The following is a 13408-nucleotide window of genomic DNA, read 5'->3' as shown; positions in this document are numbered from 1 at the left end:
AAACAAACAAACAAAAAAAGGAATGCACCAATATGGGTTCCTTAGTTGTAACAAATGTTCCATCCAAAGTGAGATGCTAGCGATAGGGGAAACTGAGGGCAGGGTACACAGGAACTCTCTCTACTATCTTTGAGCTTTTCTGTAGACCTAAAGCTAATCTAAAATGAAAGGTTTATTTAAAAAAAAAAACTGCATAAGGTTGCACAAATGAAAGCACTTTTTAATACTTAATAATGGATAGATTTATAATAATATAATAGTTTTACAAAAGACACCAAGGAGGAAAGCCGCCCCCATGATCAAATCACCTCCCACCACGTCCTACCCCCAACATTGGGGATTACAATTCCACATGAGATGTGGGCGGAGACACAGATCCAAACCATATCCACCAGGGACTGGGACAGAATCTGGAGATACCGGAGGCAGAGACGGATTCTCTACACAGAAACGACAGTTCAACTCACAGAAGATTTCTGAGCTCTAATTGAAGACAGGGGAATGCTGTCTTCAAAGTGCCAAGAAAAAGTAACTGCCATTCTAGAGTAGAAGCTGCCAAACTTTCTCTTAGAATTCCAGATGGCCTGTGGGCCATATAATCTCTGTCACAACTGCTTGACTGACTGTCGTGCAAGTGCCAAGGTAGCCCTAAATAATACGTAAAGAAATGGGCATGGCTGGCCGGGCACAGTGGCTCACACCTGCAATTCCAGCACTGGGAGGCCGAGGCGGGCGGATCACCTGAGGTCAGGAGTTCGAGACCAGCCCAACCAACATGGTGAAAACCCGTCTCTACTAAAAATACAAAAAATTCGCCGGACGTGGTGGCGCACACCTATAGTTCCTATTGCTCGGCTGAGTATAAAGATGGGAGACCCCATCTCTATAAAAGAGAAAAAAAATCATCTAGGCATCATGGTGTGCATCTGTGGTCCCATCTACTCAGGGGGCTGAGGCAAGAGGATCACTTGAGCCTGAGAGGTCAAGGCTACAGTGAGCTGTGATTGCACCACTGTGCTGCAGCCTGGGTGACAGAGCAAGACCTTGTCTCAAAAAATAATAATATGCTAGTGAATCTAAAAGGACAACTACTAATGAGAGAGAGAGGTATAGGATGGAGGAGGGAAGTGAGAATGCATGAACGAATAAACACTGGGAAGAGAGATGGAAAATCAAAGTGAAATAATTCAGCCGTCAGATGGTGGAATTCATCTCTTCAAAGAGGTTTTGCTTTTTAAATGTTCAGTTCTAAGTGATTAATAAGTGGCACACCTAAAATATGACATGGTAAAGTTGAAAGGAAGAAAGATACAAGGCAAACGCTAATCAAAAGAAAGCGGGTATTACATTTTTGTCTCAGACAAACCAGACTTGAAGGCAGAAAGCCAGATAAGGGATAAAGGTCAGTACTTAAGGAAAGGGGAAGTAATGTACCAGAATGACATCCTGATGCTGCGTTTGTAGGCGCCTAGCAACATAAGCCTCGAACTGTTTAAAGGAAAAATCATCAGAATTGCAAGGAGAAACACAGTCATGGTGGGGGAGTTTAATGTCCCTGTCTGATACTTGTAGATGACGCAGATATTAAGTTAACAAAATGCATGCAGTGGACATATATAAACTGTAGCCCAGTCATTAGAAAGCTTACGTTCATTTCAAGCCACGTGAGGGTTCCTAAAATGGATTAGAGTGCTCTGCCACAGAGAGAGTCAGAATACATACCCTAAGATCAATGCCATTCAGACCGCATTGTCTTGATTTCGATGTGATATAGTTGAAAGTCAATAGCAGAAAAGATACCCATAGTAATTTATTAATCGACAGTTAAGCCCATAGGCGGCATAAGATTAACACAGTCCAAGCTCCAAAGGGCTTGATCCAAGCCAGACCAAGAAACCAGTAGAAGACAGGCAAGCTTTTTGCTCCTCTCAAGGGCTCTTCATAGAATGGTCTACATTTCATCAGGAGCATAGGGGTGGTCTGCTTTGGTAAGGGGATGATAAGGGCAGGTAGTACTCTGAGCAAATGCCAAGGTAGGTGCCAAGGTTTTTTCAGGGCTGGTGGACAAACCGATATGACTGAGATAGAATTTTCTGGTGCTTTAGAGAAGGTATGTCTAAAGGATTGGATTGGCTGGTTGCAGTGGCTCATGCCTGTAATCCCAGCATGTTGGGAGGCTGACATAGGTGGGTTGCTTGAGCCCAGGAGTTCAAGACCAGCCTGGGCAACATGATGAAACCCTGTCTCTACAAAAAAAAAAAAAAAAAAAAATATATATATATATATATATATATATATATATATATATATATATATATATATAAATAGCCAGGTGGGGTGGCATGCACCTGTAGTCCCAGGTACTCTGAATCCTGAGGTGGGAGGACCACCTGAGCCTAGGGAGGTTGAGGCTGCAGTAAGCCGTGATCGTGCCACTGCACTCCATCCTGGGCAATAGAGAGACTGTGCCTCAAAAAAAATAAAACTAAATAAATAAAGGATTGGATTGAGGCAGGAAAGAAACAGGTGCATTACTCAGCAAAAAGTTGGCAACTATGGTGGGTTCCGATGCAGGCAAGAGACATCACCCAAGAGGTAACTCAAACATGCATCTGGCTAAGATAAAATAATCTGGGAGAGCAGGTGGGGAGATAAACCAGTGTGAAGAATGCACCAACTGAAAAAGAATATTTACAGCCCACCCCACTGCTGTGTGTTTTAGCAGCAATGAAGAAGATACTGGATGTTGTGATGACCATGAGAATGAGGACTGATCCCAGGAAGAGCTGTTGCGTACAGAACCCACAGACAGCGTTTGCCAGCTGATTTTGTTGTCGCGTGGAAGGGAGAAGGGAGAATTTGAGTCCAAGTGACAAGGAGACGTAGGTTAATCTCGTGCCGTGGAGTGAACTGAGAGGGAAGAAGGACTCCATTTACACAGATTGGGGAAAGCGTTACCCAGTACAGGCCCAGGGTACACGTGCACCAAGCTAACTGAGCCAGATAGTTTATGACTCCTTTAGTGGAGGGGTTGGCAAACTATGGTCTGCGGGCCAAATTTGGCCCAACACCTATTTCTGGAAATGAGGCTTTATTGGAGCATACGCGCACCCATTTGTTTACATATTGTCTTTGGCTCCATATGTGCTACAGTGGCTGATCTGCATAATGGCCAGAGAAATCTTAAGGCTGAAAAGCTGGAAATACTTACTATCTGCAAAGCTGAAAATATTTACTATCTGACCTCCCTGTTCCTTTGTTCCTTTCCTTTCCCTTTCCCTTTCTTTTTGACAGGGTCTCACTCTGTCACTCAGGCTGTAGTGCAGTGGTGCAATCATGGCTCACTGCACCCTCGACCCCCTGGGCTCAAGCGATCCTCCCACCTCAGCATCCCTCCCAAGCAGCTGGGGCTACAGGCACATACCACCACACCCAGCTAATTGTTGTATTTTTTGTAGAGATTGAGTTTGCCCAGGCTGGCCTCCAACTCCTAAGCTCAAGTGATCTGCCTGCCTCAGCCTCCCAAAGTGCTGGGATTACAGGCGTGAGCCACCACACCTGGCTATCTGACCCTTTTCAGAAAGCGTTAGACCCCTCCTTTAGTGGACACAATCCCTGTTTTTAGCCCATATTCATCATTAAATACTCTGAGGCCAACTGTCTTTTTTATGACCTCTTGCTTGTGCCCTGTCTGTTGAAGCAGGAGGCTTCATATAAACGTCGCCTGTGGCATTATAGCCACCCACAAGAAAAGGAACTATTCCAAGAAGGCACTGTCTTCAGTTCCCACTTCAGGGGTTTCTGACCTGGGAAGAAGACAGGCAGGCACCTCGCCTATCATGTGTGTGTGGCTGCTGCCATCTGGTGTACAGATGCCGTTACTTCCTCACCTTCCTGGAGCCCTCCCCAGCTCCTTCCCATCTGTCCACCTCCCTACCTGGCCAGGTCAGCTTGCACCAAGGTGTTCATTCAGAGGTCATTGTCTCCTGAATTAGGAAGACTCTCAGCCAGCAGAGGGAGGCCTGTAGTTCAAGGGAAACACAGCTTGCTTCTTTCTTTTTTTTTTTTTTTTTTTTTGAGACGGAGTCTCACTCTTTCACCCAGGCTGGAGTGCAGTGGCACGATCTCAGCTCACTGCAACCTCCACCTCCTGAGCTCACACCATTCTCCTGCCTCTGCCTCCCGAGTAGCTGGGAGTACAGGCACCCGCCACCACGCCTGGCTGATTTTTTGTGTTTTTAGTAGAGATGGGTTTCACCGTGTTAGCCAGGATGGTCTCCATCTCCTGACCTCGTGATCCACCCGCCTCGGCCTCCCAAAGTGCTGGGATTACAGGCGTGAGCCACTGTGCCTGGCCCCAGCTTGCTTCTTTCTGTTCTGGTCCCATAGCAGTTTCTTTCTGTTTCAATCACAGAGGAATTCTTCAGACCGTATGTGCTTGGGGAATTGCATGCTTAAGCGGTTTTCCTTTCTGCTGTATCGTCACTTCAAAGAACATGTTCTCTGGAGAGGAGACATGCCCTCAGCTCCCACTTCACTCAGTGGCAGGCATCATTCAAACCAGCAGGGAGAGTAAGACTGTTTATGCTTAAACACTCAGCTTCACATACCACTTCCTGTTTTAAGCTTTGACTAAGCACGCGTCAAGAGACGTTTGTAGTCTGTGGACCTGCCTTGACCTACAGGTGCAGCGGCCATCCCAGAGCAGGCTGTGCACAGCAGAGGAGGCTGGCTGCGAACTTTAGTGTGCCATGGATAGTCCACAAAACACATCCCCAAGATATGACCGGACCAGCTACTGCTAATCAACACCCAGACACTTGGTAAAGGAGGCATGGTTGATTAGTCTACATTTGGATGTAGTATAGCCCATTAAATTACACATGGAGGCATCAAAACCAATTTTAAGATATATGTTTGCCTCTCTGATCAAAGAGGAAAGATCGTAAGTCAGATAAATCCTTTCCCCTGGCTTATACATATATATGTTGATATATTAACAATTATTTAAGACAGCAGCCATTAGTTAACAAAGCAACCCTTTATTTAGAAAGAAAAGTGGCATATTTTGACATATTTTCCTGGTCATTCATCAACATTAGCTAGTAGATGAGCATGTCTGTATGTGTAAGATACGTTACATGTGTGTCTACCTGTCCAAGCAGCCCCTCTACTTTTGCTCCAGTAGATTGTGTGTGTGTGTGTTTGTGTGTGTGTGTAGACAGGATCTTGTTCTGTTGCTCAGGCCGCAGTGCAGTGGCACAATCATAGCTTGCTGCAGCCTTGACCTCCTGGGCTCAAATAATCCTCCCTCCTCAGCCTCCCAAGTAGCTGGGACTCCAGGTGTGCATCCTGTAGATTATTGAAAGCATGCTTGCAGGTTACCTGTAGAGAAGTTACAAAGGAGACTTCATTGTTGTGGCGGGGAGGAGTCTCGGAGAACTCACATGGAAACATTTTAATTATAGTTCACTCTAACATCTTTGAACAAGCAAGCTGTCTTCACTGGCTCCCTCCAAGCCTCCATGCAGCTGCTCTTGCAATGCCTAGACCTGCCCCAGGCAGCACTCAGTCTCCCAGACTCGTGGAGCATCCTAGGGAGACCCTTACTTCCTCAAAGTTGCTGATCTTAACCTCCTCCCTGCCTAGCAACTTGGGTCTCAGCATTCCCAGCCTGGTCTCCCTGGAGAGTGGCTTTTAGCCTGAGAATTGGAGACCCAGCCTGAGGACACTAAGGTACTTGTGGAGAAAATACTTTGACATCTTGATCCCACTGTCCCCACCCTTTCACAGCAGAAAAATGCCCCTCCCACCCTTGAGTCACTTCGGCACAATCCTGTTCTATTCTTTATCTGCAATCGCACATTGTGCTCTCAATTTTATTTTATGCAGGCAAGCTCTTCTCTTGAACCTATCACACTACCCTGTCTGGAATTCTAGAGTGATCTATTGGCAGCTCCTTCTCTTCAGTTTTCCTGGCTCATCCTGCCACACTACACAGCCTCACCTTACAAAGAGACAGTGGAATTTGAAAGTGCCGGCTGGCAGCGGTGGACAGACGGCGCCACCACGCGGTAGCTTGGTAGCATAGGTTGCTAGACACAGTACCAGAAGGAAAAAGTTTGACCAGGAAAGGTGACTGTGTGTCGCTATCCAAATCTATGTTCGGCTTGTACAGAAGGTGTATCTGCAGAAGGCTAAGGACCATATATGTAAGTTACATGTAACTTTGGACATGTCCAACTTTGCTTTGGATATTTTTCAAAATAGTAACATCCTTATATTCTGGCTGTTATACCCTGATTTTTCACCCCCCATTTAATTAAGCATTTATAAAGCTCGTTATTGTCTTATTTTCCCATGTTGGGAATAAAAGTATAGCTTTTATGTGACCCTACGTAGAGGGGTAGAAATGTGAAATGGGCCAATTAAAGTGTCAGAAGCTACTCCAAGCTTTTGATGGTCTACCCTAGCAGGGGAGCATAGAGGTGCGAAAAGTCCTCACTTCCAGACACCCAAAAATCAGTTCAGTTTTTCTTTTTGCCATTTGGAGGGGAGAGGGTGACATTTACTTTTCTAGTGACTTAAAAACATAATGTTATTTATTGCATGCGTTCTGGGAAGTGAAGAAAGTGGGCCAGGCCAAGGAAGTCCACCGGATGCATGGGCAAAGCCAGACCAGGATCAAACAGGTTCTCACCATCCTATGTAATTTGCCATCAAGTCATTCATCAGTCTGTCCATCCATCCATCCCTTCAATCCACAGAGATTCACTGAGCACAGGATTCATCTTTTTGGAGAGAGAGAACTTAGAATAGTTATTTCATCAACTGCAACTGGGAAAACAGGCTTGAATTTGTAGGACTGGTGGGCTGGACATGACTTTGAAAGATCATCTTGCCTCTTAAGTATTTTTTTTTTTTTTAGCAGTTGAGCTTTTGGAACAAGTTCCTAAGCGAACACTCTGGATGGAATAGATACCACCCTTTCCATGAAAGTTCCCCTCTGCACTTGGCAGAAAATCCCTGATCTAGCCCAAGTCTCTAATGTTATAAGTGAAGAAACTGAAGTCTCAGAGTGGAAAAGGAAGTCATCAGGGATGACTCAAGTCAGAGCTCCTGGTTCCTGAACCCTGGGGCTCTTTCCTCCCCTCTAAGAGCTGATCTGTCTGTAGCTGGTCATGTTTCCATTTCAGAGGGTGGAGGGAACATCCAGGATGTCTCAAAAGGTCTGCTTTCCTCATTGTCTCAGCTTCCCCTCTGAAGCTCACTCCCCCCCACCGCTTTCTTGATGTTTTTTCTCTTGTCCCATTTGAACTGCAAGAAGTGCCCCTCCCATTCTTGGACCACCTGGAAGCTTTTGAGCAAGCTTTTGGAAAATTATCTGTTTTGTGCATTGCAATAGAAAACTCAAATGAAAGGAGCCAGATGGGATTGAGGGCTGGGAAGCGAACAGGGAGAAATGAATCATCTTGGGCCTCATCTCCAGAGTCCTTGTCCAAACCTGGGCAATTCTTATCCCCCTCTGTCCCTCTCTTTCCTCTCCCCTTCTCCCTTCCCATGGCTTTTTATGATAATGCTTTTCAAGCTCCCAATAAGAGCAACGTTTTACAGAAAAAAAAAAATAAAAGGGACAGTGTTTTGCCAGTAAGATGTGTGTTCCCGTGTTAGCACCACTGATCGCCCAATAGTTGCACGTCTAAGATTTTTCTTTGACTGAGAAATCCTACCAGGGAAGAAGAACTACTCCTTGGAGACTTTGTCCTCCACATCCCCAGTTCTGTGCTGACAAATACAATCCCGTCGTTACCTGGAAACCTGGTGATTTTCCAGAACACGTGGAGGAGAATGAAGAACTTAATAGCCATTTGCCTGCAAAATATGCCATCATGGAGCCTGGTGCTTGTGAATCTCTGGGTTGAATTGGATAAACAGATGGACAGATGGGTGAATGATCTGATTACCTGCTAACCTGAGATTGCCCACAAGGTTCCATCTTGGTCTGGCTTCGTCTGTGTCTGGCAGACTTTTACGACCCACTTTCTTCACTCCCCAGGACTGATGGAACAAATAACATTATTCAACGGAAGTCATTCGAAAAGTAAATGTATCACCTCAAAAATGGCAAAAAGAAAAATCTAGTTGATTTTGGGGTGTTCTGAAGTTAGCACTCTTCACGCCTGTACTTTCTTCTCCTAGCACAGACAATCCACATGTAGGGTGATGGTTGTGTGTGTTTGGGGTTGGCCTCACTGGTATTACAAATCCAGTTACTGTCATCCATCTCTTCCTGCTACTACTTACTCTGAAAGATGGTTTTCCTTTGAAGGATGGAGAAATTCTCTAATCCAGACCTCCTGACAGCTAGGCTGCAAACACACACACACACACACACACACACACACACTCTTACACTCCTACAAAGACAAAGAAAATCCTGGGAGGGATTTTAAGACACGTGCTCATTTCAGCACTCTGTCCTCCTGGTGACATCTCTCTATGAAGCATCTGGGACTTCACCTGACAAGCACCTGACAACCTGACTGAGCACTCGGCCCTTACTGTATGTGCCTCAGTTTCTACGTGCATCATGTGAGAAAGGCAGATTGTATCCATGGCTATGAGACTGTTGGGCTTTGTTGGACAATGAAGACGTCCCCCAAATATGTAAAGACTGACAAACGACGGCCACCCTTTATATTTTTCAAAGTGAAGGCATTGAAGGAAAGATGCAATCGTAGACCGCCATGGTCAGTGAATTATTTTATGAGAGATCACCCTTCTAGAAAGTGCAGCCAGGTGCAGTGGCTCATGCCTGTAATCCCAGCACTTTGGGAGGTCGAGGCTGGTGGATCACTTGAGGTCAGGAGATACAGACCGGCTTGGCAAACACAGTAAAACCCTGTCTCTACTAAAAAATACAAAAATTAGCCAGGCTTGGTGGCAGGCACCTGTAATCCCAGCTACTCGGGAGGCTGAGGCAGGAGAATCGCTTGAACCCGGGAGGCGGAGGTTGCAGTGAGCTGAGATCGTGCCATTGTACTCCAGCCTGGGCAACAGAGCGAGACTCTGTCTCAAAAAAGAAAAAAAAAAGTGTTATTTACCACCAGAAATTAGTTCATGAAATCAGGAGCTCAGGATAAAACAAAGTCCTTTCTGTCTTCCAAACAGAAAGACCAAAGACCTTCCAAAGACCTTACTTTTTCCCTCCCCCACCCCACCCCAGTTCAAATTCTGTAAAACAATATGAAAACCTTGCATAATAATACCTGGTTTGTCATTATGCTCTTGATACAAACTAATCCGTTTGAACTCCATTGGGCAATGCGACAAGATGATCTGGACTCTGCAATTTATTCTGCTACTGTTTTCATCTGTTGAAAATCTAGTTTCTTGAAATTGGACGGTGTATTTTTAAAATGTGTTCCCTTGACTTTTGCTTCCCTGTTGTCTTTCCCTGTGTGCAGAAGCCATCAATGAGAGGAGGGCAGGGAGGGAAGGGGAGTCTTTTTGAGAGAAGGAAGTCACAGCCCTAGGAGGGATCTCGATTCTTGAATTCCTAAGTATTATCCCAAAAGAGAATCATTAGCATGGAAAAGAAATTGATACTGGAAGATACTGAATTCCTTTGGATTGACCTTTTTTTTTTCTTTGGCTACTTCATGGAAATGGGGGCCCTGGGACAGAATAATATCCGAGAGAAAAATAATTTTTTAATTCACAGCTGAGTTACAGGGTATACTTTTTTTTTTTTTTTTTTGAGATGGAGGCTTGCCTGTTGCCCAGGCTGGAATGTAGTGGCGCCATCTCTGCTCACTGCAGCCTCTGCCTCCCAGGTTCAAGCGATTCTCCTCCCTCAGCCTCCTGAGTAGCTGGGATTATGGGCATGCACCACCACATCCAGCTAATTTTTGTATTTTTAGTAGAGATGGGGTTTTGCCATGTTAGCCAGGCTGCTCTCAAACTCCTGAACTCAAGTGATCTGCCTGCCTCGTCCTCCCAAAGTGCTGCGATTACAGGCATGAGCTACCACCCCCAGCCAATTTTAACTTTTAAAGTTCTGTTTCTCAAACACAGAGCATCATCATGACAAGGGCCTTTCTCAGGGCCACATCCTGCATCTTGGTCCATGGACCACAGTAATGATGAGTGTTATGTAGGGGAGCTCTGCTGAGTGCTTGTTGTGTGCCCAGTCCTGTGCTGTCTTTTACCTTCATTCTCTTGAATCATCACACATGGACCCAAGATGAGCCCTGTTTTACAGATGTAGAAAATTGAGGCACTGAGATGCCTCTCGTCCACAGCCCCGTAGCTAGTAAGGGCAGCAGTCAAGACCGGACATGGTGGTTCTTGCCTGTAATCCCAACACTTTGGGAGGGTGAGGTGGGCAGATCACCTGAGGTCAGGAGATCGAGACCAGACTGGCCAACATGGTGAAACCCCGTCTCTAGTAAAAATACAAAAATTAGCCGGACATGGTGGCATGCATCTGTAATCCCACCTACTCAGGAGGCTGAGGCGGGAGAATCGCTTGAACCCAGCAGGCAGAGGTTGCAGTGAGCCGAGATCGCGCTGCTGCGCTTCAGCCTGGGCAACAGAGCAAGACCTTGTCTCAAAACTTAAAAAAAAAAAAAAAAAAAAGGCGAGGGACAGCAGTCAAGTCTGTGCCTAGTCTAGTCTCTGGCCCCAGAACCTACCTCTTTTGGGGTGTTCTAGGCTATGAGGCGACCTGGCCAGGCAGGAGGAGAAGCTAAGTGGGAGAGCCTGGGGGAGTGGGTGGGTCTTGTTTCCTATCAAGTTTAACTTACTGCAGACCCCCTCATACCTCATTGTATGTGTTCGGGGGATGAATAGGCACTATTGATGCTATATAAGACCATGGATTCTGGGGCTTGACTCCCTGGGTTCAAATCCTGGCTCTTTCATCAACTGGGTCTATGACCTTGATGCGTTGCTTTTCTTATGTGCCTCTGTTTCCTAATCTGCAAGATGAGAATAATAGTATCTACCTCAGTGGATTGTTCTGACCAATGAACTGAATTTCTCTAGGAAAAGCTCCCTGAGTGGAGCCTGGTGGATGGTAGGTAGCACTGTCCATGGTGAAGCTACTGCTCTTGCTTCCTGGCACACCCATGACACATCCTACAGCTAGATGGCCAGCCCATTTCTATTTCCACTCAGGTCCAGGACAAGCACTCCCCACTCCCTGCCTCCCCAGGAGAAGAACTGTCTCAGAAGTAGCTTCCACTGTCTGCAGGGAATTGACATCCAAGCCTCGGGGCCCAGGTCCAGGAGCAGGGTCTCTGAGTGTGCCTGGCTACTCGGAGCCCAGGTCCAGGAGCAGGGTCTGTGAGTGTGCCTGGCTGCTCTGCCCTCCCACTGCTTCTACTCCTGTTTCTAGAGCTCCGTGCTTTATAAGGGGCCTTCACATCCTTTGCCCTCTTTCCCCCGAGGCCCTCCCAGGCTGACTTCGTCATCTTATCACAGCATGGACTGTGCATGCTCATGAGCCCTGGCCCTGGTACTGCCCAGCCCTTGTCCCCAGCCTTCGTTGTGTGGTGTTTTTCTCTCTCCTGTGTCCTCCCTGGGAGCAGAGCCTGGGTCACCTCTTTTATGCTCTGCACGGGACCCAGAACCAGGCAATGCGTGGTCAGCTCTGTGCTAGGGGTGTCGACGGCAAGGGTCGGCCCCTCCAGACCACACAAGCACACGAGCTGCTTCCCTTTTGCGCCCCAGTTTCCTGGACTCATTTGGGGGCCCCTTCCATCTAACCACACAAGTCACCTTCTCAGAGCAAAAAGGAAGATGACAGTGCTGCCCCTCCCCCATCCGCCGGGCAGCAGCGTCTCCTCCATGAGCAGCACAAGGGGCTTTTATGCTGCGGCCCTTTCCTCCTCTGCCACTGCCCCCAGCCACCCCCACCCAAGTCCCTGGCGACAGGGATTGGACATCTTGGCACAGGAAGCTATCTCTGCACAACGTATACTCTGTTAGCCTGGAGCAGACCTTGGGGGAGGGAGGGCCCCGTCAAGCTCTCTGAAAATGGCAGTGTGGTTTCCTTGCGGCTTTCCCGGGCACTGGAGATGACGCACACTTCTTTTCTCTTCTCCGTTCCCACTGCTGCCCTGTCCGTCCTCCCCAACAGCTTGTTACAAGCGACTTGGGGAAGAAAGCAATTCTGTCTTCCAGGGCAGCCTGCTGAGGAAGGTCAGGCCACTACAGAGGGAGCTGTGGGTGCGGTTTAGTTCTGGGGGGCAGGGTCTTCATTTTAAAACATTCTGCTTGGTACGCCAAGAAAGGCAGCTCAGGAGCACTGGTGCTTGTGTCGCACTCGTGGGGACATGTGGCACTTGGTGCTGCTTACATGCATTGCTCAGTCCTCGCTGCCATCCCAGTATGGACATGTGGCCACGGGGCCTCGGGAGGCAGGGGAAATGCTCAGAGGTCATTCTTCTGGTAAGAGGCAGATTCAGGATTGCTTTTTTTGAGATAGAGTCTTTGTTGTCCAGGCTGGAGTGCAGTGGCATGATCTTGGCCCACTGCAACCTCCACCTCCCAGGTTCAAGTGATTCTCATGCCTCGGCCTCCCAAATAGCTGGGACTACAGGCATGTGCCATCACACCTGGCTAATTTTTTTTTTTTTGTATTTTTAGTAGATTCGGGGTTTTGCCATGTTGCCAAGGCTGGTCTTCAACTCTTAAGCTCAGGTGATCTGCCTGCCTCAGCCTCCCAAAGTGCTAGGATTGCAGGCGTGAGCCACTGAACCTGGTAGATTCAGGATTTGACTTACTTCTGTCTAGCCAGGCATGGTGGCTCATGCCTGTAATCTCAGCTACTTGGGAGGCTGAGGCAGGAGGATCACTTGAGGCCAGGAGTTCAAGACTTACTTCCATCTGATTCAGAAGCCCACGAATAAACTTCCTCTGCCAGCCTCTAGCAATCATGGAACAATCAAGAAAGCTGGAAATTATCATTCCCATTTTACAGAAGCAGGCTGTGTCCAAGAGCACACAGCAAGTGAGGGGCAGCTGCCATTGTACTTTCTGTCCCTATGAATTTGACTCCTCTAGGATTTGAACCCAGGTGACCAGCTCCAGAGCCTGTGCTCTTAATTATCACTCTGCTGTTAAGTGACGTGCCTGGCTGTGACCCCAAGGTCTTCAAAACTCTCCCCCAAAGTCGTGTGGGAAATGGGGTCAACTCAGTTGTGAAAATGTCTAATCTCCCATTATGAATCCTTTGAACATTGACTATAGTAATTCCAATTTGTCAGACACTTTTTTTCCCCTGAGATGGAGTCTTGCTCTGTTGCCCAGGCTGGGGTGCAGTGGCCTGATCTCAGCTCACTGCAACCTCCACCTCCCAGGTTCAAGCGATTCTCCTGCCTCAGCCTCACGAGTAGCTGGG

At 47.2% G+C, this 13408-nt stretch overlaps 1 protein-coding gene across 27 annotated transcripts in view, besides 6 other annotated features; it reads left to right on the top strand.

The window, feature by feature from the left end:
- The window catches only part of SLC39A11 (solute carrier family 39 member 11), a 446740-nt gene that overhangs the window by 360960 nt on the left and 72372 nt on the right, over window positions 1-13408 (top strand). For 7 of the 27 annotated variants that reach the window (XM_047435578.1, XM_047435568.1, XM_006721756.4 and 4 more), the window contains one exon: window positions 5893-7651. The exons of the other annotated variants lie outside the window; for them this stretch is intronic. In XM_047435578.1, the coding sequence (XP_047291534.1) occupies window positions 5893-6091 (199 nt within the window). In that variant the 3' untranslated portion in view covers window positions 6092-7651. Of the gene's footprint in view, window positions 1-5892; window positions 7652-13408 lie in introns of those variants that run through there. 27 annotated transcript variants of the gene reach the window in all.
- Window positions 3745-4039: an enhancer, noted in NCBI's record as "tiled region #3582; K562 Activating DNase unmatched - State 12:CtcfO". NCBI's record gives its function as "activates a minimal TATA promoter and a strong SV40 promoter by Sharpr-MPRA in K562 cells {active_cell/tissue: K562}" and the evidence as "EXISTENCE:reporter gene assay evidence [ECO:0000049][PMID:27701403]".
- Window positions 5999-6068: a silencer, noted in NCBI's record as "silent region_8917". NCBI's record gives its function as "represses an Ori minimal core promoter by ATAC-STARR-seq in GM12878 lymphoblastoid cells {active_cell/tissue: GM12878}" and the evidence as "EXISTENCE:reporter gene assay evidence [ECO:0000049][PMID:35858748]".
- Window positions 6119-6188: an enhancer, noted in NCBI's record as "active region_12682". NCBI's record gives its function as "activates an Ori minimal core promoter by ATAC-STARR-seq in GM12878 lymphoblastoid cells {active_cell/tissue: GM12878}" and the evidence as "EXISTENCE:reporter gene assay evidence [ECO:0000049][PMID:35858748]".
- Window positions 10208-10423: a silencer, noted in NCBI's record as "fragment chr17:70717445-70717660 (GRCh37/hg19 assembly coordinates)". NCBI's record gives its function as "represses an EF-1alpha promoter that drives an FKBP-Casp9 reporter gene in an ReSE screen in K562 erythroleukemia cells {active_cell/tissue: K562}" and the evidence as "EXISTENCE:reporter gene assay evidence [ECO:0000049][PMID:32094911]".
- Window positions 11106-11783: an enhancer, noted in NCBI's record as "H3K4me1 hESC enhancer chr17:70716085-70716762 (GRCh37/hg19 assembly coordinates)". NCBI's record gives its function as "activates a minimal SCP1, AML or CMV promoter by ChIP-STARR-seq in primed H9 embryonic stem cells {active_cell/tissue: H9 hESC(primed)}" and the evidence as "EXISTENCE:reporter gene assay evidence [ECO:0000049][PMID:30033119]".
- Window positions 11784-12462: an enhancer, noted in NCBI's record as "H3K4me1 hESC enhancer chr17:70715406-70716084 (GRCh37/hg19 assembly coordinates)". NCBI's record gives its function as "activates a minimal SCP1, AML or CMV promoter by ChIP-STARR-seq in primed H9 embryonic stem cells {active_cell/tissue: H9 hESC(primed)}" and the evidence as "EXISTENCE:reporter gene assay evidence [ECO:0000049][PMID:30033119]".

Source organism: Homo sapiens, chromosome 17 (genome assembly GCF_000001405.40).
Source record: "Homo sapiens chromosome 17, GRCh38.p14 Primary Assembly".
Lineage (NCBI taxonomy): Eukaryota > Metazoa > Chordata > Mammalia > Primates > Hominidae > Homo > Homo sapiens.
The sequence above is the reverse complement of the archived record's forward strand: the minus strand, read 5'-3'. Positions and strand labels throughout refer to the sequence as shown.